The sequence below is a fragment of the Homo sapiens genome (assembly GCF_000001405.40).
Source record: "Homo sapiens chromosome 16 unlocalized genomic scaffold, GRCh38.p14 Primary Assembly HSCHR16_RANDOM_CTG1".
NCBI lineage: Eukaryota > Metazoa > Chordata > Mammalia > Primates > Hominidae > Homo > Homo sapiens.
Window position 1 is genome coordinate 1147839 of NT_187383.1, and position 23121 is coordinate 1170959.

Below are 23121 nucleotides of genomic sequence, written 5' to 3' on the forward strand. Positions count from 1 at the left end.
GGGGGCGCGCGGGCGTCGGCGGGGCCCGGCCAGGCGTCCGCGGCAGCGGTTCCGAGGCTCTTGCCCGCGGCTCGGGCGGTGGCGGCTGCCACGGCTCCTCGGCCGACCCGAGGCTCAGCCTAGCGGGGCGCGGGCGATATCGGCGCCCGCAGTCTGCAAGCGGCGGCTGGAGCAGGGGCCTGTGGCCCGCGCCCCCGGCCCCGGCCGGGGCCCGCGGCGGCTGCCCGGCTCACCCGAGACTCCGTTGGCGGCGGCGGCAGCTCAGGCGCGCCTCGCCCTCTCCTTCTGGGCGGCGGCGGCTGCAGCCGCTCTCGGGGCCGCGGCGGGCTCAGCGACTCGCCACCGCGTTCCGACTGTTCCTCTCTTCCCGGTTCCCGGCCGGCAGCCGCTTAAAAACCGACTCCGGGATGATGTCACTATCGCCCCACCCCCACGGCTGGCCGGCCCCCCTCTCCCTCCCGCCCTGCTCGTCACAGTCCGCCCCCCTTGTCCCTGCCCTCCTCCCGGGGAGGAGTCGCCGCTCCAGCGGGAGGCAGGATGGTTGCTACCTGGGGCGGCCGCCAGCTCCTCCCGCAGGGCTCCGGGCCGCCCCTCACCCCAGGGTCGCCCGCTCCTAGTGTGGCCCAGGCTTCCCGGCCTGCCCCTCCCAGCCCTAGGAAGACGTCCCCCGGGCCCCCTCAGCCCTCCGCCTCCCCTTCTCTCCCTTTCTCCCCGCTCCTGGCAGGCTGCAGCCGTCTCCTCCCGGTGCTCGCTCCTTCCTTGAGCTCTGTCCACCGCTGCCCACTGGGGGCTAGAGCTTCCCGGCTACCCTGGAAGCTGGAGGCTGGGACCAGCTCTTCAGGTGACAGGCCTCTGTGTCTCCACAGTGGCCAGAGGGGAGCCTGCCTGACTGATGAGCAAGGCTCCACTTTGTCACCAAGGCAGAGAAGGGGCCCGGGTAAATGACCCCGGTGGCCCCCACCCCTGCCTGGCATGAGAGTGGGTAGGGGCTTCGGACTTGAGGGGACTGGAGCGGGAATAAGGCAAGGCTGCCCCCTGGTGCCTGGCGGGTGCACAGACCCTTCCCCAAAGGCCTCAGGTCTGAGGTCCTGGCTGCCCGCCCCCCACCCACCCCGTGTTCCTCTCCCCAGGACCCCCAGGCCTACCCAGCAAGAGCCAGCTTGTTGGGCTGCCTCTCCGCCACCAGCTGAGCAGCTTGGTTAGAATTTTCTAGGGCAAGAGTAGCCTGGGGGTGGGGTGGGGAAGGAAGTGGTCATTCTCCTGGCCTGGGAGGTAAAGTGTGCCCCCCTCAACTTCAAGCTCCCTGATCTGATCGTGGACACTGCAGTCCCCAGATGGCTCATCCCGTTAAGCTAAGCCCTCGGCCATCCCTCCAGCTTTAGGAAGAAAAGCAGTTCTGGCCCAAGCCAGACTGAGCTTCCTGGGTGAGGGAGGGGCAGTGTCCCTACCCAGGCTTGGAGGAGGAGCCTCAAGGGGTGTGTGTGGTTGGGGGAGACAGGCGGTGTCACCTGTGCTTAGACCAGGGGCGGTGGGCGGGTACCCTTGAGGTGGCAAGGTCACACTGCTCATCAGAAGTTTCTCACTAGGGTCTTCTCTGGCCCAGCCTTTGACTGAAGCTGGTCTGGAGACAGGGGCGTTAGAGAAGTGACTCATAGATGGCCTAAATAAGCGGGGCCACTCAAGGACCCAGGACAGGGGGAAGAGGGCCAACCCAGCTGGACCGCAGGCAAACCCCATGGCCTTTGAGAGAAGAGAGAAGAGGACCCGGTGAAGTAGGCTCCGAGGGCCTCAGCCCAGCAGGAGCGCAGGGTGGGCGCGTGATGTCATCGAAGGGAAGACAGTGACCTGGGGGAGGGCCGCTTTGAGGGAGAGTGCAGGCCACCGCCAGAGAGCTCTGGGAGCCGAGGGCAGGGAAGACTTTCAGATGTTGCTTGTCCAAGGGGTGGGGGTGGAAGGGAGAGAGAGCAGAGGCTCGAGAGGGATGTAGGAGAGCTGATGGCACTTTGGGGACAGCCTCAGGGCTGCAATTGAGGAGGGCTCCCTCCCTCATGCAGGCTTTTCCTCCAGGAGCTGCACCAGGAACTCACAGAGGATCAGGGAGAATTCTGAGAACATGCTACTGTGGTGCTGCCTAGAGAGGAAGGATAAATGATGACAAGTACACCTCTGAGTAACGTATGGGCACTTGTTCATGAAAACTGTTTTTCTGAAAGCTTGTGAAGGTCTTGAAATACTCGCTATCAGTTGAGGACAAACATTTACACCCTCCTTCCACAGGGAGTTCAAGCAGGCTGGATGGGTCCATCTATGGATGATCTTCCCCAGCCCCTTCCTCTTCCCAGCTCATCCCTGGCTCTCTGTGTGAACAGGTCTCATCAGTGGAATGTGGTTGATGAAGTGAGGTCTTCAATTTTCTCATCTACTGTGTAGTCATGTTATTTTCCTCATCTGAGGCTTAAAAACTCACCTGCATGCAGCACATGACAGCTTAAAATCTCTTGTGAACAAAACAGTAACAAAGACACCCACCAGCGTTGAGCATCCCGTGTTGATGACAGCGACCACCAGGGGTCAACGTCCTCTTCACAATCCTGTGTCAGAGCATCACTTGACTGATTTCATTAGCAACTTCCCAGGAGAATCAGCTTACAAAATACTTGTCCCATTTTCCATGCAGATGTAACCCATCTATTTCACTGAAGAAATGGGAAGAGCTGAATGCTGACTACACTGAATGTCTGCAGGTTGTGCAAGTTTGTGACTTTATCACTTTCTAATTTCTGATCTGTGTGGACCACTCTACAGATTTTTCTCACTGGTGTGATCAGCCTTCTGGATGTCAAATATAATAGACTTTCAATAATATAAAAGTCAACACAAGCTCCTCATGGTTTCAGTGCTCAGTGATGACTCTAAACTTACACAATGTGTTTCTTTATTAGTTTTGTTTTCTGGTATCTCTACTCGGCATCTTCACCACACCCATTTTATGTTTCTTATACAGGTAATTGATAATTTTAAAATTTATTGGTGCTTACTTTAATTAAATAAGCAGACAATATCTTAGAATTTAAAAAAAATGTGCAGTAAAAGGAAATGCAATAAATTTTAATGTAAGGAAACCAGCAGCTGAAAGCAAGGGAAATCTCTTCTGCTGCATAGGAGGGTATGGAGACCTCATAATACGATGATTTTCTGCAGTTTAATCATTATTGCCACACAAGTGATAGCATCCTCTCTCTTTATATCAGCACATTCCCTAACGTACAATAAAGACTGAGCACAGATACCGCCAACCAGACTGACCAGCACCTCTCACCGAGTGCCTGAGCTGATAGTGATAGATATCACATTTGTCTAACAAAATCATTACACCCTGTAAGGATACCCACCAGTCATAAGGAGACAATTTAAAAAATTTAGTCAAAGCCCAAACCTGATAGGTAGTCATTTATACTTAGAAGAATTAACTCTTATCTTCACATGTATTTTTCTTAATCATAGAGAAGCTACTAGAGTCACTGTCCAAGTTACTGAATATCTTATTCCTAGAATGAGACACTGCACAATATGTTCTGACACGAGGGGATGTAGATATAGTTAAGGGACAGGAGATGTGATCACGGGAACAAGAGTCTGTGATCCAGCAGTTCTTTCTCCCTCACAGTTGACCAGAAACAAGGCCCCAGCAGAACAATGGAAACATTGACTTAGGTCTCCACAGTCTGATGTGAGATAAACAGCAGGTAGTTTATGCTTCCGTTTTATAGTAGGAAATTTAATAAAGAAGGGCCATTTTGGGGATAATACTATTCTCTAGGATGCTTAAATGCCCCCAAACAGAGAGCACTACAGTGTCCCATGGCCAGGAGCTACAATACCTGGGTCTAGAAAGCAGTGGACAGAAATATCGGTTTCTCTTGCCACATGTATGATGAAAATTTGAAGAATGTTTCTTTCCTTCTCCATAATCATAGGCTGCGATGGACTGGAGGTCCTGGTACATAAGAATAAATGTGTCTCCAGTAGGAACAGAATTAGTCCCATAAAATAATTGTGCTGCCGTGGTTCTCATACTGTTGGAACAGCTGACCAAGAAAGTGTTGTAACAGCTGCAGTGTTTATTGATTCCTATCATATTTGGGGCTACATTCGCAGCTACCAAGGGAAAGAGAGAGAAGTAATTCTGGCCTAGATAGAGTCTATAGATTTTTTTTTTCTTTCCTTCAAACTGAGGTTTAAAAAAATCACATCAACTAAAATGCAGATGATGATCAAATGATCAAGGACAACAGCCATTAAATGTTTCAGGTGTGTTTTAACCCAAAGTCGCACAACATGTGAGAACATGAGCTCTGGAGTCGGGAGAATCTCTGAAGAGAATCTAGAAGGTGGGTGGGAGGAAACAGTGATTCACGTCTAAGGAAATTGCAGGGCTACCTCCTGTAGGGGAAAGGAAAGCCTGAGCCTCTCCTACAGTGTGCTGTCTAAAAATTTTTGGCTGACTTATTGTATTCTTCAACACCAAATTTTTTTAGTTCTCTTTTAAATTTTTTTATCTCTTAAAATTCTCACAGTGTTCTTGCATGCTGCCACTAGCTTATTAAACAAGATTGTAATATTTAAATTTTCTGCCAAGAAATCCATATGCTTTTATATTCATTGATGCCAGTTTCTGGACCTTTATGTTGTCCCTCTGTTTGGACCATATTTCCCCATTTCTTCATTTTCCTTGATGGTCTTTGCTGCCATCTACTCATCAAAAAAAACAGCTCTTTGTTCATCATAACAAACAGCCATACTCTTCCAAGCCTAGGCCCTTAGAGAAAACCCTCACCAATCACCCCATCAGTGATTGTGGATCTCTCAAAAACTTCATAATAACTTCATAATATTCAAACTTCTGTCTTTGTTCTTAGTGGCCCCCAGGTTTTAGAGCATGTTGGGTTGTGGCAGGACTCCTAAGTAGGGGAGGTAGAAACTATTTACTCAAGCAGCCTCTTGAACAGGTACACCATTCAATACAGTTTTATTATTGAGGTATGATTCATCAGAATAATGTCAGTTCAAGCGCCTCTCAACCAGTTGTCTAGCATTGAAATGTTATAATTTATTATTTGGATCTGTCTGTCATTTATCTTTTGAATCTTAGGTAAAATTACAAACTGATATAAAACTGCCTATTTGGCAAATGATCTGCTGCAGAATTTTCATCTTCTATGTATCTCTGTTTGCACTTAAATCCAAGTTTATATTAGGCATGTATCTAGAATGTAGAAATAAATCTTAAAATTCCTTCATTTTTAAAAAGATTATGGGGTTTCCAGAAGATGGGAGAACCTTCTTTATTTATAAAATACCTGATTCCACATTTTCCAATAGTTTCCTCTTTATCAATCTCCTCTCACATTATACTATATTAAGCAAGGAGAAATTAAAACACACCATCCACACTTTGCATAGAAATCCCCTCAATCCCCTCAGCTTTTTTTTTTTTTTTGACGGAGTTTCACTGTTGTTACCTGGGCCTTGGCCTCCCAAATTGCTGGGATTACAGGCATGAGCCACTGCATTGGGAAGCTTGAACTGGGCAGAGCCCACCTCAGCTCAGCAAGGCCTACTCTCTCTACAGACTCCAGCTCTGTGGGCAGGTCATAGCTGAACAAAAGGCAGCAGAAACTTCTGCAGACTTAAACGTCCCTGTCCAACAACTCTGAACAGAGCAGTGGTTCTGCCAGCATGGCATTTGAGCTCTGAAAATGGACAGACTGCCTCCTCAAGTGGGTCTCTGACCCCCGTGTAGCCTAACTGGGAAACACCTCCCAGTAGGGGCCAACAGACACCTCATACAGGTGGGTGCCCCTCTGGGACAAAGCTCCCAGAGGAAGGATCAGGCAACAATATTTGCTGTTCTGCAATATTTGCTGTTCTGCAGCCTCTGCTGGTTATACCCAGGCAAACAGGGTCTGGAGTGGACCTCCAGCAAACTCCAACAGACCTGCAGCTGAGGGACCTGACTGTTAGAAGGAAAATGAACAAATACAAAGGAATAGCATGGCCAGGCACAGTGGCTCATGCCTGTAATCCCAGCACTTTGGGAGGCTGAGGCGGGTGGATCACAAGGTCAGGAGATCGAGACCATCCTGGCTAACACAGTGAAACCCCATCTCTACTAAAAATACAAAAAACAATTAGCCGGGCGTGGTGGCGGGTGCCTGTAGTCCCAGCTACTCGGGAGGCTGAGGCAGGAGAGTGGCGTGAACCCAGGAAGCGGAGCTTGCAGTGAGCCAAGATCGCGCCACTGCACTCCAGCCTGGGCAAGAGCAAGACTCTGTCTCAAAAAAAAAAAAAAAAAAAAAAAAAAGAAAGGAATAGCATCAACATCAACAAAAAGGGCATCCATACCAAAACCCCATCTGTAGGTCACCATCATCAAAGACAAAGCTTAGATAAAACCACAAAGATGGGGAGAAACCAGAGCAGAAATGCTGAAAATTCTAAAAAACAGAGCATCTCTTCTCCTCCAAAGGATCACAGCTCCTCACCAGCAACAGAACAAAGCTGGATGGGAATGACTTTGACGAGTTGATAGAAGTAGGCTTCAGAAGGTCAGTAATAACAAATTTCTCCAAGCTAAAGGAGCATGTTCTAATCCATCACGAGCAAGCTAAAACCTTGAAAAAAGGTTAGATGAATGGCTAACTATAATAAACAGTGTAGAGAAGACTTTAAATGACCTGAGGGAGCTGAAAACTATGGCACAATAATTTTGTGATGCATGCATGAGCTTCAACAGCTGATTTGATCAAGTGGAAGAAAGGATATCAGTGATTGAAGATCAAATTAATGAAATAAAAATAGAAGACAAGTTTAGACAAAAAAAGAGTAAGAAGAACAAACAAAGCCTCCAAGGAATATGGGACTATGTGAAAAGAAAAATCTAAGTTTGATTGGTATACCTGAAAGTGATAGGGAGAATGGAACCAAGTTGGAAAACACTCTTCATGATAGTATCCAGGAGAACCTCTGCAACCTAGCAAGGAAAGTAAACATTCAAATTCCGGAAATACAGAGAACACCACAAAGATACTCGCTGAGAAGAGCAACCCTAAGACACATAATTGTCAGATTCACCAAGGTTGAAATGAAGGAGAAAGTTTTAAGGGCAACCAGAGTTGTGCCATGGCACAGTGTTGTGCCAGGTCCTTTCTCTGTTTTCTTGCCTGTTTATTTATGTCAGATGTGCCACCTACATGTAATAAGGTCAGAATTCTGCCTCCAGTAACACATCAAAGGTGACCTTTGATTGTACTTTTGGTTTATGCTCCAAAATATTGATTATAAATTTCATCACCGTCATATTTTATGTCAAAATAAATCTGCATAATCTGAATGTCAATACATTTTGGAATCTACTAAATAACTGAAATTGCAAGAAATATTACCCACTCCAAAAGCTGGAGAGATGGGCATGTCCAGAATTGCAGTTAGCACTTGCTTAACTGGTGCAGAAACTGCAGAAGCTGCAGAAGCCACAAGCTGTTGAAGGCACTTATATGGTAACCACTATAGACGTCTGAAAGACAAATGTGGACTCGGTAAATGTGACCATTCCAGAGGGTCTTATACTTCTAAGGTTTCTGGACTTTCTCTCCAGAAACCTCCAGATTCTAAAATATACAATCCAAATAAATTTCCTGTGGGTCAGAATTGAAGATGAAATGAAGATGATTAATTACAGAAAACTATACCAGGAGCCTACTTCAAAAGCTTCTAAAGGGAATGACTTTTCCAGAACCTTATCCTATGTGAAGGAAGACAAATCTCCCATTCCAGATTCTCTCCCATTCTTCCATTATTATATGAATGAGTAAAGTTAGCCAAAAGGGGTAAGATGTACGTAAATAGTCCAGGGAAGCCAAAACCACAAAAGGGAGTAACAGCCAAAAATGAGCTTTTCCCCTGGAGATGCTTTTTCAAGGTCACAGCCCAGAAGAGGAAGCCTATCGAATCTCTAGGTTTCCATTGGAAGAACAGGCAGTGCTTACCTGCACTGCACAATCCATTCTAACTAGGATGATGACTATGGATTAAAGATGAAAGTGTGGCAATGCACAGACTCTATCTGAGGAGAATACAGAAACACTAAGACAATGACAGAGGGTGAGACAAAGGCAGTACAGCAATGTGAAGCCTCTGACATCATGATTTTTAAGACCAACATCTTGTAAATGCCATCATAGATCTCAGCTTCTTTTATTATGGGGACTTTGCTGGTTTCCTAGCTGAGAAAGTGAAAATAACAACCTGCATGCACTTCCCAAGTCTCCACCTGTATCCTGTTTGCTTTAAATCTCTAGGAGAAGAAAGTCAGATAACTGGGCCTAGTGTCAGCATAGGAGGCACTTCCTAAAAGCTACATATTAGGAAGAAGGGAAAATGTGTGTTATTGGAATAGTGGATATGGAGTGGGCTTTCATCTGAATGTATCTGCACCTGCTGGTATTCTCAGATGCAACATTCAACTGCAAGAGCCCAGTGAAGAAACACGGCACTCCCAAATCTCCTGTAAGTTTTTGTCTTCATTTTGGTTCCACTAATGAAGTGAATCTGGAGCTTCAGAGAAGGGGCTCCCTTCTGTGTCATTGAATCCTTGCTCTGGGTCTCCTTGCAGAGTTCAATAGGTTTAGTAAGGCTAATCAGTTGTTTCAAGAGATGGTGTCAGTAGCATATGGTGTCACTGAAGGAGTGTGATAAACCAGGACACAGCCATTTCATGCTGGGCTAGAGAAGCTTGGGGGAAATGATTTGTAAGTCCCAGCAGGAACCTCTTTGCAAGGCAGGGTCTGGGCTGTTGGGGGCACAGACCAGGTGAGTTAGATATCAATATGTAAAGATGAGGACCTATGGATATTAATTGAAAATACATAAATACTTCAAAAAATTCCAATAAATTGAGTCCAAAATTAACCCCAAATTATTCAAAACACAAATTCCTTGACAAATATTTTGGGAGCAATGAGTTCATAAAGAATTTGAAACTACCGTTTCAGCTTCTGATTCTTATGGTTCCTGAGATGAGAAAATCATCTCTAATCACACATCACAGAGCAAATCTGTAAACAAGAGTGTTTCTATTGAAGATCCTGGGGGATCTGAACACCAGGCAGGTGCTGGAGACACTGTTTCAGGAGTGCCCAGCAGATCTCAGAATGACCTGCTGGTCACTCACGTGGGACATGAGCAGTAACTTCCTCAGTCATCAGTCAGCTGTGCTGGTGACTGATGGATCCAGGACAGAACCACGGCACCTGCTCAGTGTCATGGAGAGTGATGGTTCCAGAAATTATCCAGGTGGTCTCTGTGCTTATAAAATGTAGGTTCACAGTGAGGAGCGTGTCCTGAGGGGGATTGTTCTTCTGTGAAAGGACCTCTGTTCATGAATGTTCATAAATGGAGCAGGGCATGCATTTCCTCAAACAGGAATAGGGCTTGGACCATCAGCATCTCACTCTTGTAAATCTGATGTGTCATTTATCTTCCCTTTCTTATTATTAACCAGGCTTTCTTCTATGAAATGCTATGTCATGAATATGCAAATAACCTGAGATCCACTGAGGTAAATTTGGATGTCTGTGCCCTGAGAGCATCACCCAACAACCACATCCCTCCTCTATAGAAGCCCCTGAGAACACAGCTCCTCACCATGGACTGTACCTGGGGGATCCACTTCTTGGTGGCAGCTGCCACAGGTAAGGGGCTCCCAAGTACCAGTGATGAGGAGGGGATTGAGTTCAGTCAAGGGGGCTTTTATCAACTCCTCCATTCTCCTCACAGGTGTCCATTCCCAGGTTCAGCTGTTGCAGCCTGGGGCTGAGGTGAAGAAGCCTGGGTCCTCAGTGAAGGTCTCCTGCCAGGCTTCCAGATACACCTTCACCAAATACTTTACACGGTGGGTGTGACAAAGCCCTGGACAAGGGCATAGTGGATGGGATGAATCAACCCTTACAATGATAACACACACTATGCACAGACGTTCTGGGGCAGAGTCACCATTACCAGTGACAGGTCCATGAGCACAGCCTACATGGAGCTGAGCAACCTGAGATCTGAAGACATGGTCATGTATTACTGTGTGAGAGACACAGTGCAAAAACCCACATCCTGAGAGTGTCAGAAACCCCAGGAAGGAGACACCTGTGCTGACACAGAGGAGATGACAAAGATTATTAGATTAAAGATTTGCTTAGAAAATGACATTAAGTCATTAAAGAAAAGGAACAATATTAATGTGTATTTGAGAAATTTTAATTATTTGAGAGATTTTTCATACAACATTTATTCTGTAAACAAATTTCAATGATTAGAGAATGAATCAAATTAATGAAACTAATATAGAACTTCCTCTGAAGGTATCTCTGTAAACATTAATTTCTTAATCAGTGCTGTAAGTATTTTGGAATACAGACACAAAATCACATTTTAAGTCTGCATTTATATCTATTAAAAATGCCAAAAAAATCTCCTTTTGTGCGTGTAGCATTTTGAATTCCCACCCTCAATGCATGATAGTTCTTGGTTTTCCACATTCATATTGCCATGTATCCTTATGAGAGTTGTGTGTTTTAACCAATCTAGTAGGTGAGTAATGGGATCTAATTTTTATTTAAATGCACATGTCCCTCAAAAAGTTCATATTTAACAATTTTCCAATAACTTTTGTTGAGATGCCTCTCCTGATATTTGGTTCATTTTAAATGCATTGCTTTGTTTTGATTCATTGTAAGTTTACTTGCATATTGTTTATAAAAGTCATTTAACAAATTAAAAGAATTCATTTAACAAATATGTGACTTGGAAGTATTTTTTCCAAGTCTGTGGCTGTCTTTACTCCCTTATCAGTGTGTATTGCAGAAACATACGTGTGTGTGTGCATGTGTCTGTGTGTGTATGTGTGTGTTTGTACAAATTTAGATTCAAAAACATGTAAAATTGTATTCATTCATAGATGATGTTTTTGACATTATATCTGAAGTCTCATTATAGAATACCAAATAGTGGTTATTTTTTCTATGTGTCTAACCTCAGGCCACAATCAACTCATGAGTGTTTAAACTTCACCTACTTGATTGGAGGACTATTCACCTCAGATATTTGGAATACTTCTGTAAGGAGATGTGTTCGTCTTCCCAATATTTATTTTCATAATCATCTATTAATATGTGTATTGGTTTATGAATATATATTTCATACTCTGAAGAAGATCCATGCTATATTACTCATTTTATCGTTCAAATCACCACAGATTTATTAGGTCCTGGGAGCTCATTTAGTTTGGATCCTGTATCCTTACAGTGCACCTCATCCTTTTGTTTTTGAACACTTCCCTGTTTCCTTGTATTACAACAAATTCTAAGTTCATTTTCTATATTACCTCTTTTGTACATAGAATTAGCCATTTTTCTAAAGCTTGCTTGTTTCTAACGTTAACGAATAGCAGTAAAATAAAAAAAACTGTGATACCGTGTATAATTACTTCTAGGACCTCTCAACCTACTGGCCTAGCAGACGTGCATGTTTATATGAACCCATGTTTATGGACGCATCAAAACTACTTATGTACCTAATCTTCTGTAACTTTATTATATTAAAAATGAGAACACACTGGTCTCCTGACCCAACTATGCTACCACGTGGACCTTTCTAGCCTTCCTTCCTTGACTGTCCATAACCATCCACTTTAAAGTGAGGAATCCTATCCCACCAATTGCCTTATTATTACCTGGTTGCACAATTTTAGGACACATGCATAGCGGTATCAGAAATGTAAAGCTCATTGGAAATATGTTTATCTACTAGAATAGAGTGCTATGTGTAGTTTCTTTACATTTTAAACATACAGAATTTCCTCATTTTCAAAGTTAATTAGACTAGCAACTTCATTTTCTACTTTCTTCAGTGAAGTCATTTCAATTACACCATATAATATCATTTATTTGAAATTCGGTATAAACCAAAACTATAGTCAAGTAAACAGATAGAGGATATTCAAGGAATTTAGAGAATGAGTATTAAATAAGTAAAAATGGCACTGTTTAAGAATAGTAAAATTATTTTTAGTGCTATAAAATGGTTGAGACACGATGCAGTTAATTTTTCTAAGCTCATAATTGTGTGATGGAAAATATAAACCTAAATATATACAATTTTTGTAAAAAGTATTTAGCAGTTCATTAAACCCAGGATTAAATGCAGACTGTATAAAGTTATCTAATAACTTATTTGGTGAGGGTGGGGATATCATGAGATGCATGCAAAAAAGAATGAAGTAATTTTCCTCATTTGCATGTAAGATGTTACCATTCACTAAAGACCTTTAATTTAAAAAAATCAATTTTCAACGTGACCCAGGTTTTTTCTTCCTGACAAGCAAATAACCCAGATAATTCTTTTCTTTCCTTGGTTGATAAAGATTTTCCCCAAACTTCAGCTCAGTTCAGGCACACACTGTCCCTGAATGGGCATTTACCCACAGATGGGTACACACACCTGTCAACATGGGGACTCTTCCGTCAGACAAACACACCTTTACTCACGTGGATTCTTCCCTCAGACAAACACATATGTCCCCACATGGACTCTTTTCTCAGACCACCACGTATGTCCTTACATTTACTCTTTCCTCTGGTAATGACATTTCCTCATGTGGACTCTTGTCTCAGACAAACATGTCTGCATGTGAACTCTTCACTCTGATAAGTACACATATTTCCACAGTGACTGTTCCCTGACACAAGCAGATATATCCAATGTTGAACTGTTTTATGGGAAAATGATCTCAAGATAATAATTATAAAATCCCTCCCTGACAAGGTGTAGATCTGCATTTTTTTATTGTACCTTAACTTTGCCTTATTGTCAAGAACAGTAGTTTGTAGCTCTAAATGCACCGATTAGAGATTGGTGTCCGTTTTCTCTGGAAATGTATTTTTAAGTTCTTACTGGATGTATTTTTTTGATAATGTTTGCTACTGTGAAGATACCTGAACAGGGTCCACACTAGAAAATAAAAAAGACTAATCAGCAGATTAACCCTGTGCATCCAGACCCACGAGTCCTTTGACCCTGCCCCCCTGAAATGGAGACACAGAGGATGGATGAGCAATGCCGAGCGGTGCACCCAAGACCACAAAAAGAAAGACAAGGAAATGTGTCCCCTCCCCTCCTCATGAAAGGCAGCTCATCCCCTGTTCCTTCAGGCCCTAGCGAGGAGCCAACCCATGTCTCTTCCCTTCCTCAGTGTCCACACCGTGGGATCTGCACTGATTTGGGCTTCCCTTCTCATCACCCTCAATATTAGTGTCCCTTGTGAATCAGGTCCAGGTGCGGCTGCTCCACATGGGGCCGTTCTTCCATTTCCTCAGTGTTTGCAGAAGTCCTGTGTGAAATTTATTGATGGAGTCAGAGGGGGAAAAATTGTACACCCAGTGGCTCACTGAGACTCTCATGCAAAGCCTCTGATTTCACCTTTACTGGCTACAGCAATGAGCTTGGTCCAGCCAGCTTCACGACAGGGATTTGTGTAGGTGGAAACAGTGAGTGATCAAGTGGGAGTTCTCAGAGTTACTCTCCATAAGCACAAATAAATTAACAGTCCCAAGTGACACCTTTTAATGTGCAGTCTACCTTAAAGGGACCAAACTGAAAGTCAAGGACAAGGCCTTGTAATACTGTGAGAGACACAGGAGAGGGAATATCTGTGTGAGCCCCAACAGAAAAATCTCTGCAGGAAGACAGGAGGGAGCTGCATGGTAGATGCTCCTCAGAACCACCAGGGCGCCTTGAGGACAACCTGGGGGCACTCAGAACCACCAGGGTGTGCTTAGGACCATGGGGTGCTCAGGATATTAGGGGGTGCTCAGGATCATGAGGGGGTGCTCATGACACCAGGGGGCACTCAGAATCACAAGGGGGCACTCAGGACACGAGGGTTTGCCCAGGACCACCAGCAGGCACTCAGGTCACCAGGGGGTGTTCAGGACCACCAGGGGGCGCTCAGGACACCAGGGGGCGCTCAGAACCACCAGGGGGTGCTCAGGACACGGGGGGGGGGGGGGGCGCTCAAACCACCAGGGGGCGCTCAGGACACCTGGGGGAGCTCAGAACCACCAGGGGGCGCTCAGGACACCTGGGGGCGCTCAGAAGCATCAGGGGTGCTCAGGATATCACAGTGCCCTCAGTACCACGAGGGGGCGCTCATGACACCAGGGGCACTCAGAACCACTGGGGGGTGCTCAGTACACGGGGGTTCTCAGGAAGCAGCTCCAAATCAGGAGCCTGAGAAGCTGTGGTTTTCTTTTAAACCTTGGTGATTCCCGACCTGGTCAAGCAAAAGTCTTCCCCAGGATCTCTCACCATTTCTTCCTTGTAAATCCATGATTACTTTTACCTACAAAACATTAACTTAGAACAGGAATTTAATTCAACTTTTAATGCTGCATATTTTCCAAGTAATACTAGCAATGATCTCTCAGGACAATTTTTAAAATAGGTTATTTATATATTCTCTTGATTAAAAATAATACTATTATTAAAATAGTAAAATTATAAAAATCACACCTGTAATCCCAGAACTTTGGGAGGCTAAGGCAGGCAGATCACTTGAGCTCAGGACTTTTAGAACACCCTGGCAGCACAGTGAGGTCTTTTCTATACAAAAATAATAATAATAAATACCTGGGTGTGGTTCCACCTGTGGTAGCAGCTACTTGAAAGGCTGAGGTGGGAGGATCCCTTAAGCCTGGGAGGTTAATGATGCAGTGAGCTGTGATTGTGCCACTGCACTCCAGTCTCGTTGACAGAGTGAGACCCTATTTAAAGAAAATGTATATCCTCAATATAAACTGTTTCAATGATTAGAGTTTTGTATTTTTGTGCTGTAATAGTCAAACAATTGTACATGTTTTTTAACATTAACTCAGCGTATACATGGCATTTTGTTTCTTTTTCTTTCATCTGCTGTTTTTGGAAATTAAACACGACTTTAAATGCTCTTGTTCTCCATTTTGGTTGGCTTCAGGTGTCCTGTTTTTCAGACTGTTTCTCCATCTTCCCTTTTTCTTTGAAAGTATTTTACCTTCCTCAGTCTCCATGAAGGAAAAAGAAAGTCACTTTACTTTCTGACCTCCAAGTCTGGTGAATCAGTTCCCTTGTCTTCATAATCATTGAAGCCAACCAAGTTTAGAGGATAATGGCTCTCCTTAGAATATGCTCATCTACCTGCAGACTCTGCCCTACTCACCCTTTTCCAGGTCCTGCAGACCATCCCCTCATTTCCCTAAGTACCACAGAGTGGGCTCTGCAGCTCCTGCTGCCCTCTGTGTGTTCAGCCCTGGGGCTCACTAGTGTTTTGATGATGAAGTCCAAATCCCCATGTGCTTGGACCCTCTGAGACCATCCTCTAGGAAGATGCCATTGTGAGTGAGCCCTGAAAATCATGGGCTGTGTTCAGTTTCATTATCCTGGATGTTCTCTATCATAAAGGAATATTGACAAATAAATACCAGAGTTTGTATTGAATATTCATGCCAAAAAAGTTTTTTTTTTAATTTTTCAAATGAAACAATTTTATCTTTCCTGGTTTGAAAACTACAATCTAAATTTAACAAATAATGTAATACAATGTTTGTCTTATTAGTTATTCAATTTATTAAAAACAGACTGATATTTAAAGTTAATACCATTGCACATTTGAGTGACATATTTGGCAAGAACAGCATTTACATTCAGCTTTAACAAAACATGTATTTAAATATATTTGTCTTTTTAGTATTGGAATAGGCAGACATACACGTAGAAGAGCATTATTTTCTACTACCACCTCAAACTGCAAACACAGTTTAAATTCAATTAAGTAATTAAAAAATATGAAACAAATAGGTGTGCTATTTTGGTGTTTAGATATACGTTCACTTTTGCATGGGCATATGTATGTGTCTTTGCTGGGCTGTTGTGTATGTATGTGTATTTGTAGAACCATGAAGTTTTCAAATACATCATTAAATGACATATTAATCTTGGCCAGGCATGGTGGCTCAGGCCTGTAATCCCAGCACTTTGGGAGTCATAGGCAGGCAGATCACCTGAGGTCAAGAGTTCAAGACCAGCCTGGCCAACATGGTAAAACCCCGTCTCTACTAAAAATACAAAAAATAGCCAGGTATTGTGGCAAGTGCCTTTAGTCCCAGTGTGACAGGGAAATGTGGGGTCAGAAATCCCACACAGAGTTTCTACTGGTGTACCACCTAGTGGAGCTGTAAGAAGAAAGCCACTGCCCTCCAGAACCCAGAATGGTAGATCCACTGACAGCTTGCACTATATTTCTGGAAAAACCACATACACTCAATGCCAGCTCGTGAAAGCAGCCAGGAGGGAGACTGTGCCCTGCAAAAGCTTTTTAAAACTTTTCATTTGAAAAATTTTAAAAAAGTTCTGCCACAGGGGCAGAACTGCCCAAGACCATGGGAACCCACCTGTTACATCAGGTAACCTAGATTTGAGACATGGAGTCAAAGAAGATTATTTTGGAACATGAAGATTTGACTGCTCAGCTGGATTTCAGACTTGCATGGGGCCTGTAGTTTGGACCAATTTCTCCATTTGGAATGGCTGTATTTACACAATGCCTGAACTCCCATTCTTTCTAGGAAGTAACTGACTTCGTTTTTATTTTACAGGCTCATATGGAAGAGACTTGCCTCATCTCAAATGAGACCTTGGACTGTGGACTTTTGAGTTAAGGCTCAAATGAGTTAAGACTTTGGCAGACTCTTGAACAGGCATGATTGGTTTTGAAATGCGACAGCAATCATGACTCTAGAGGACCACATGTGAAATGCAACAAGCAGGAGCAGAAGACAAGTAATTCATGATTTCACTGTAGTGCATTAAAATGGTAGACTCACAGAAGTAGAATAGAATGTTGGTTACCAGGGGCTGGAGGGGTGGACTGGAAAAGGAGAGATTTTGGTCAAAGTGTAAAATGTTCCAGTTAGACAGAAGGAGTAAGTTGCAGTGTTCTAATGCACAAGATGGAAAATATGGCTATGAATGCATTGTATATTTCAAAATGGCTAAAAATGTAAATGTTAAAATTTTTCCCACTAAGAAATTATACAGGTCGGGAGTGGGGGCTCACACCTCTAATCCCAGCACTTTTGGAGGCCGAGGTGGGTGGATCACAAGGTCAGGAGTTCAAGACCAGACTGGCCAAAATGGTGAAACCCTGTCTCCACTAAACACACAAAAGTTAGCCAGGCGTGGTGTTGGGCGCCTGTAATCCCAGCTACTCGGGAGGCTGAGGCAGGAAAATTGTTTGAACCTGGGAAGCAAAGGCTGCAGTGACCGAGATCGCACCACTGCACTCCAGCCTCGGCGACAGAGTGAGACTCAGTCTCAAAAAAAAAAAAAAAAAAGAAATTACACATTTGTGAGGTGATGGATATTTTAAATAGCTTGATTAACAATTCCATGATGTATACATGTATCATAGCATGTGTGAAGCGACCTACCTGTATGAAGGTGAGGTGACCTGGTCACGTGACAGTGAGGTGACCTGGGGGATGTGTGAGGTGACCTGGGGGATGTGTAAGGTTACCTGGGGGTATGTGTGAGGTGAACTTGGGCTCATGTGAGGTGACCCAGGGTGCATGTGTGGTGGCTTGGGTGCGTGTGAGGTTACCCGGACATGCATGAGGTGACATGGGGAACTCATGAGGTGACTTGGGCATGTATGATGTGACCTAAGGCATGTGTGAGGTGACCTGGGGGACGTGTGAGGTGACCTGTGGGACGTGTGAGGTGACCTGGGGGATGTGTGAGGTGACCTGTGGGAATGTGTGAGGTGACCTGTGGGACGTGTGAGGTGACCTGTGGGACGTGTGAGGTGACCTGGGGGATGTGTGAGGTGACCTGGGGTACGTGTGAGGAGACCTGTGGGACATGTGAGGTGACGTGGCGGATGTGTGAGGTGACGTGGGGAATGTGTGAGGTGACCTGGGGTATGTGTGAGGTGACGTGGCGAATGTGTGAGGTGACCTGGGGGACGTGTGAGGTGACCTGTGGGACATGTGAGGTGACCTGGGGGATGTGTGAAGTGACCTGGGGGACGTGTGAGGTGACCTGGGGGATGTGTGAGGTGACCTGTGGGACATGTGAGGTGACGTGGCAGATGTGTGAGGTGACGTGGGGAATGTGTGAGGTGACCTGGGGGACGTGTGACGTGACGTGGGGAATGTGTGAGGTGACCTGGGGAACGTGTGAGGTGACCTGGGGGATGTGTGAGGTGACCTGGGGGACGTGTGAGGTGACCTGGGGAATGTGTGAGGTGACCTGGGGAACGTGTGAGGTGACCTGGGGGATGTGTGAGGTGACCTGTGGGACATGTGAGGTGACCTGGGGAATGTGTGAGGTGATGTGGGTGCGTTTGAGGTGACGTGGGGGATGTGTGAGCTTAGCAGGAGTGTGTGTGAGGTGACATGAGGAATATGTGAGGTGACCTGCCTGATGTGTGAGGTGACCTGAGCACATGTAAGGTCACCTAAGGCGCATCTGAGGTGACATGGGGGACGTGTGAGGTGACCTGGGGAACGTGTGAGGTGACCTGTGGGACATGTGAAGTGACCTGGGGAATGTGTGAGGTGACCTGTGGGACATGTGAGGTGACCTGGGGAATGTGTGAGGTGATGTGGGTGCGTTTGAGGTGACGTGGGGGATGTGTGAGCTTAGCAGGAGTGTGTGTGAGGTAACATGGGGAATATGTGAGGTGACCTGCCTGATGTGTGAAGTGACCTGAGCACATGTGAGGTCACCTAAGGCGCATCTGAGGTGACATGGAGGATGTGCGAGGTGACCTTGGGTGAGTGTGAGGTTACCTGTGGGATGTGTGAGGTGAATTGGGACTTGTGTGAGGTTACCTGGGAAATGTTTGAGGTGACCTGCGGGATGTGTAAGGTGACATTGGGGATGTGTGAGGTGACTCAGGGCACATGTGAGGTGACCTTGGGGATGTGCAAGGTCACACTGTGTGAGTGTGAGGTCATGTGGGATATTTCAAACTTTGTAAGGAAAGCCTGCAACAATATATGGCTCTAGAAGCTTCACACTCCAACACTGTTAATGCGCACATCCTCAAGGAACTCTAAATGTTTCCAGGTTAGCTTAAATGCCATGGAGTGACACCTGCCCCAGGTACACTCATATATGCATCCTGGGTCTCCCTATCAACCCCTATCCTCAAATTTTCAGTTCATGTTTGCTCCATGATATCAACTCTGATATGCTGAGGTTTTTTTTTTTTTTATCTGTAGTTGTTCAGGTTTGCTGTTTCACTCTCATTACTCTGGGCTCAGTCCTCTCCTCAGGTGTCCCACTTCAGAGCTTGCTATGTAATAGGAGACATGCAAATAGGACCCTCCCTTTTCTGATGAAAAGCAGCCCAGCCCTGACCCTGCAGCCGTGGGAGAGAAGCCCCAGCCCTGGGATTCTCAGGTGTTTCTATTGGGTCAACAGCAATAAACAAATTACCATGGAATTTTGGCTGAGCTGGGTTTTTCTTGCTGCTATTTTAAAAGGTAATTCATGGAGAACTAAGGATATTGAGTGTGAGGGGACATGAGTGACAGAACAGTGGCTATGTGTGGCAGTTTCTGACCAGGATGTCTCTGTGTTTGCAGGTGTGCAGTGTGAGGTGCAGCTGGTGGAGTCTGGGGGAGGCTTGGTCCAGCCTGGGGGGTCCCTGAGACACTCCTGTGCAGCCTCTGGATTCACCTTCAGTAACAGTGACATGAACTGGGTCCTCTAGGCTCCAGGAAAGGGGCTGGAGTGGGTCTCGGGTATTAGTTGGAATGGCGGTAAGACGCACTATGTGGACTCCGTGAAGGGCCAATTTACCATCTCCAGAGACAATTCCAGCAAGTCCCTGTATCTGCAAAAGAACAGACAGAGAGCCAAAGACATGGCCGTGTATTACTGTGTGAGAAATCCTGTGAGGAGACACAAGTGTGAGCCCAGACACAAACCTCCTACAGGAACGTTGGGGGAAATCACTGCAGGGGACGCTCAGGACCCATTCATCAGAGTCAACCCCAGAGCAGGTTCACATGGAGGCTGGGGTTTGTTTCCTGTCAGGATTTGGGACTTCCTCTGCTTCTGACAGTTTCTCTAGGGAAACTCTTTAATTTTAGATTTCTGTACCCACCAATGTCATCTCTACATATTTTTTTTAATCATTGTAATATGAGGACTCATTCTCACATGCACAGTATGTACATTGCCACCTACAGGAATGAGAACTCCTCAACCATGCGCACCAGCATCAGAGTCGTGAGGAAGCTCAGGGGTGCCCGGTGAGTCTTCTCCAGTCAGACTCAGGACAGGAACTTCAATGGGATTCCCTGACTAGAATGGCTTTTAGGGATTTTGATTACAGCCAAGAGAGAGGCTGGACCAGGTTCAGTGTCATGTAGGACCTCACAGGTTTTATGTATGACATTTCTCCTGAAAATATTCAAATGAGTATCAGCACTGATCTGGTGCTTTCTGACTTTCATTTTTAGTGGTTCTTGCTTTTCCATTTGCTTTTCCTGCTTTCTGGAAAAAATGATGTTGTCCCTGTGGTCTAAATCCTGGGGCTCAAGCCCTTTCCCTGGAGCTTAGGTGGGGCTCAGGCTGTGACTCCTGCAGCCATTGGGAGAGGCTGCTGAGACTTTCTTCTCTCTCATTATTAAGCACACTCCACTCTGTTTTCTGGAGACGCATCTGGGAATGCATGTGGCCATTAGGAATGAGGGCATAAGCTTCTTTGGTCAAAGTGGGGTGAGGATGTGGAATTGATCCTGTGCTGTGTAAACTGTCACAGAGTCACCTTCTTTACCGGTAGTGTTAGAAGAGCCTGTAAAAGTTGTCGGAATCCAACTGGAGTCCCTTGTGTTCAAATCCTGACACATGGAGCTGGGGAAGGCCATTTATGGAAGCTTCTCATGCACATACCCCTGAGAACAAGACCTAGTTTTATAACACTCCAAAAAACCACAAATTGAACAAAGGCAACCACAACAATAAAAGAATTACTTATATCCCTAAGAACAACAGCTAGCTTTATAACACTCAGAATAGCCACAACTGTGCACAAAGGCAACCACAACAACAAAATAATTACTTATATCCCTAACAACAAGAGCTAGTTTTATAACACTCAGAAAAGCCACAACCTTGCACAAAGACAACCACAACAATAAAATAATTACTTCTGTGAAAATATCTGCACAGCAACTGCCTGTCCAACCTTACACTGATGTCAACCTTATTATTGATGCTTCTAGCCTGGGATCGTTCTCATCAAAATGTCATTCAGATGCTGCGTATGACAAAAATTGTGTTTTTCAGTGCAGTCATGTTCTAGTAAAGCCCTCAGAGACCCTCTCCTTCACCTGTGCCGCCTCTGGATTTCCGATCATAACCAGTACTTCCTCCTGGAGCTGGATCTGCCAGCCCCCAGGGAAGGAGCTGAAGTGGGTCAGGTGTGTAGGTCATGAGGAAGCACACAGTACCACCCGCTTCTCAAGAGTCCAGTCACCACCTCCAGATACACATTCAGAAAGCAGTTTTTCCTACAGCTGAGCTACATGTGCAATGAGTACACCACCATGGATTTTTATGCAAAAGACACAGAGGGGGAAGTCATTGTGGGGCCAGACACAAACCTCCCTGCAGGGAAGCTCAGAACACCAGGGGGTGCTCAGGTCACCAAGGGGCGCTCAGGACACATTAAGGCAGGTGCAAGAGGGGAAAAAAGGTGCTGGAGGTGGGGTTTTTCATCACTGACATATTTTACTCTCCACCATATGTATTCTAATGTATATTATTGTATTATTAGACAATGATATTTATATAAATATATAGCCATACGTAGGTGCACCAAGTTGTCCTCTCCATCTAATGTGGACCTTGTCCTTCAGGACTAAGTCCTTGTATATATTTGAGCACCTCATAAATTATGGTCAGTTATGTAGGATCTCTCACTTGTTCTGTGTCCCTTCCTCCCTCCTCTCTCACACACAAACTGACACACACAAAGAGTTCTACAACTTTAATTACCTGATGTGTTGAAGAAAATGTATTGAAGTGCAGCTTTTTCAGTTTAACTGCTGTTCACGTTGATGTAGGAATAAGAACATTGTCTTTCTCAACTGTGTAGTTCTCTAAGCTGAGTAGCACCTTTCTTTACAATACCCAGATACTGAAAGCAATCCAAATATTGATCAGCAGGTTAAGCAGTAAACACTTTGTTCTAAATTCATTCACTTGAATAATACCCACTGTTCAAACAAGTACTGCTGGAAATGAGCAACAAGGGTAAATTCACAAGTACTTATGACGAGTAACATAAACCAAAGAAATACAAGTACATACATACAGTTCCACTTTTATAAATTCTATAAAATGAAAACTAATCTAAAGTTACATAATGAAAACCAGTAGTTGGCCGTGGTCATGGTATGAGAAGGGAAGGTGTAGGAAGTGGAAATTACAGGACAACAAGAGGAAATTTTGAGGATAATTTTTTCTGTTTTGAGAAAAGTTATGGTTATGTCATTATTTGTTAAATGGTACACATTAAGGGAAGATAGTTACTTTCTAATTTCAACTTATTAAAATACTACAAATTGAAACATATATAATTTGGTAGAAAAGAATTTAGAGATGGATAAAATATATGAGAAATAAAAAAGAAAATCTCAGAACGATGGCATAAGGACTTCAATCATCAAACTAAAGAAATTTTAAATTTCTCAACACAGAATTAAAGATTCATAAAACCAGCTCCTGGATCATTGATTTTTTGGAGTTGATTTTCATGTCTTTATCTCCTTCAGTTCTGCTCTGATCTTAGTTATTTCTTCTCTTCTGCTAGCTTTTGAATTTGCTCTTGCTTCTCTAGTTCTTTTAATTTTGATGTTAGGGTGTCAGTTTTAGATCTTTCCTGCTTTCTCTTGTAGGCATCTAGTGCTATAAATTTCCCTCTACACACTGCTTTAAATGTGTCCCGGAGATTCTCATATG

The 23121-nt window shown here is 44.6% G+C and overlaps 1 long non-coding RNA gene and 1 pseudogene across 4 annotated transcripts; both read left to right on the plus strand.

Annotated features, from left to right (window-relative positions):
• The first annotated feature begins 848 nt into the window (after window positions 1-848).
• On the plus strand, window positions 849-10733 carry LOC105379539 (uncharacterized). Of its 4 annotated transcripts, XR_002958848.2 has the most exons (5): window positions 944-1809; window positions 2068-2175; window positions 2278-3004; window positions 9563-9752; window positions 9838-10733. It is a non-coding gene; the product is annotated as an uncharacterized LOC105379539 (long non-coding RNA). The 4 variants fall into 4 exon arrangements; XR_001756140.3 differs by lacking the exons at window positions 9563-9752; window positions 9838-10733 and adding an exon at window positions 849-937 and having other exon boundaries at window positions 1300-1809; window positions 2068-4825; XR_001756139.3 differs by lacking the exons at window positions 9563-9752; window positions 9838-10733 and having other exon boundaries at window positions 944-1424; window positions 1587-1809; window positions 2068-4825.
• A 7160-nt stretch (window positions 10734-17893) lies between these two features.
• Window positions 17894-23121, plus strand: part of LOC102723999 (rho GTPase-activating protein 23-like) — a 42759-nt pseudogene continuing 37531 nt past the window's right edge.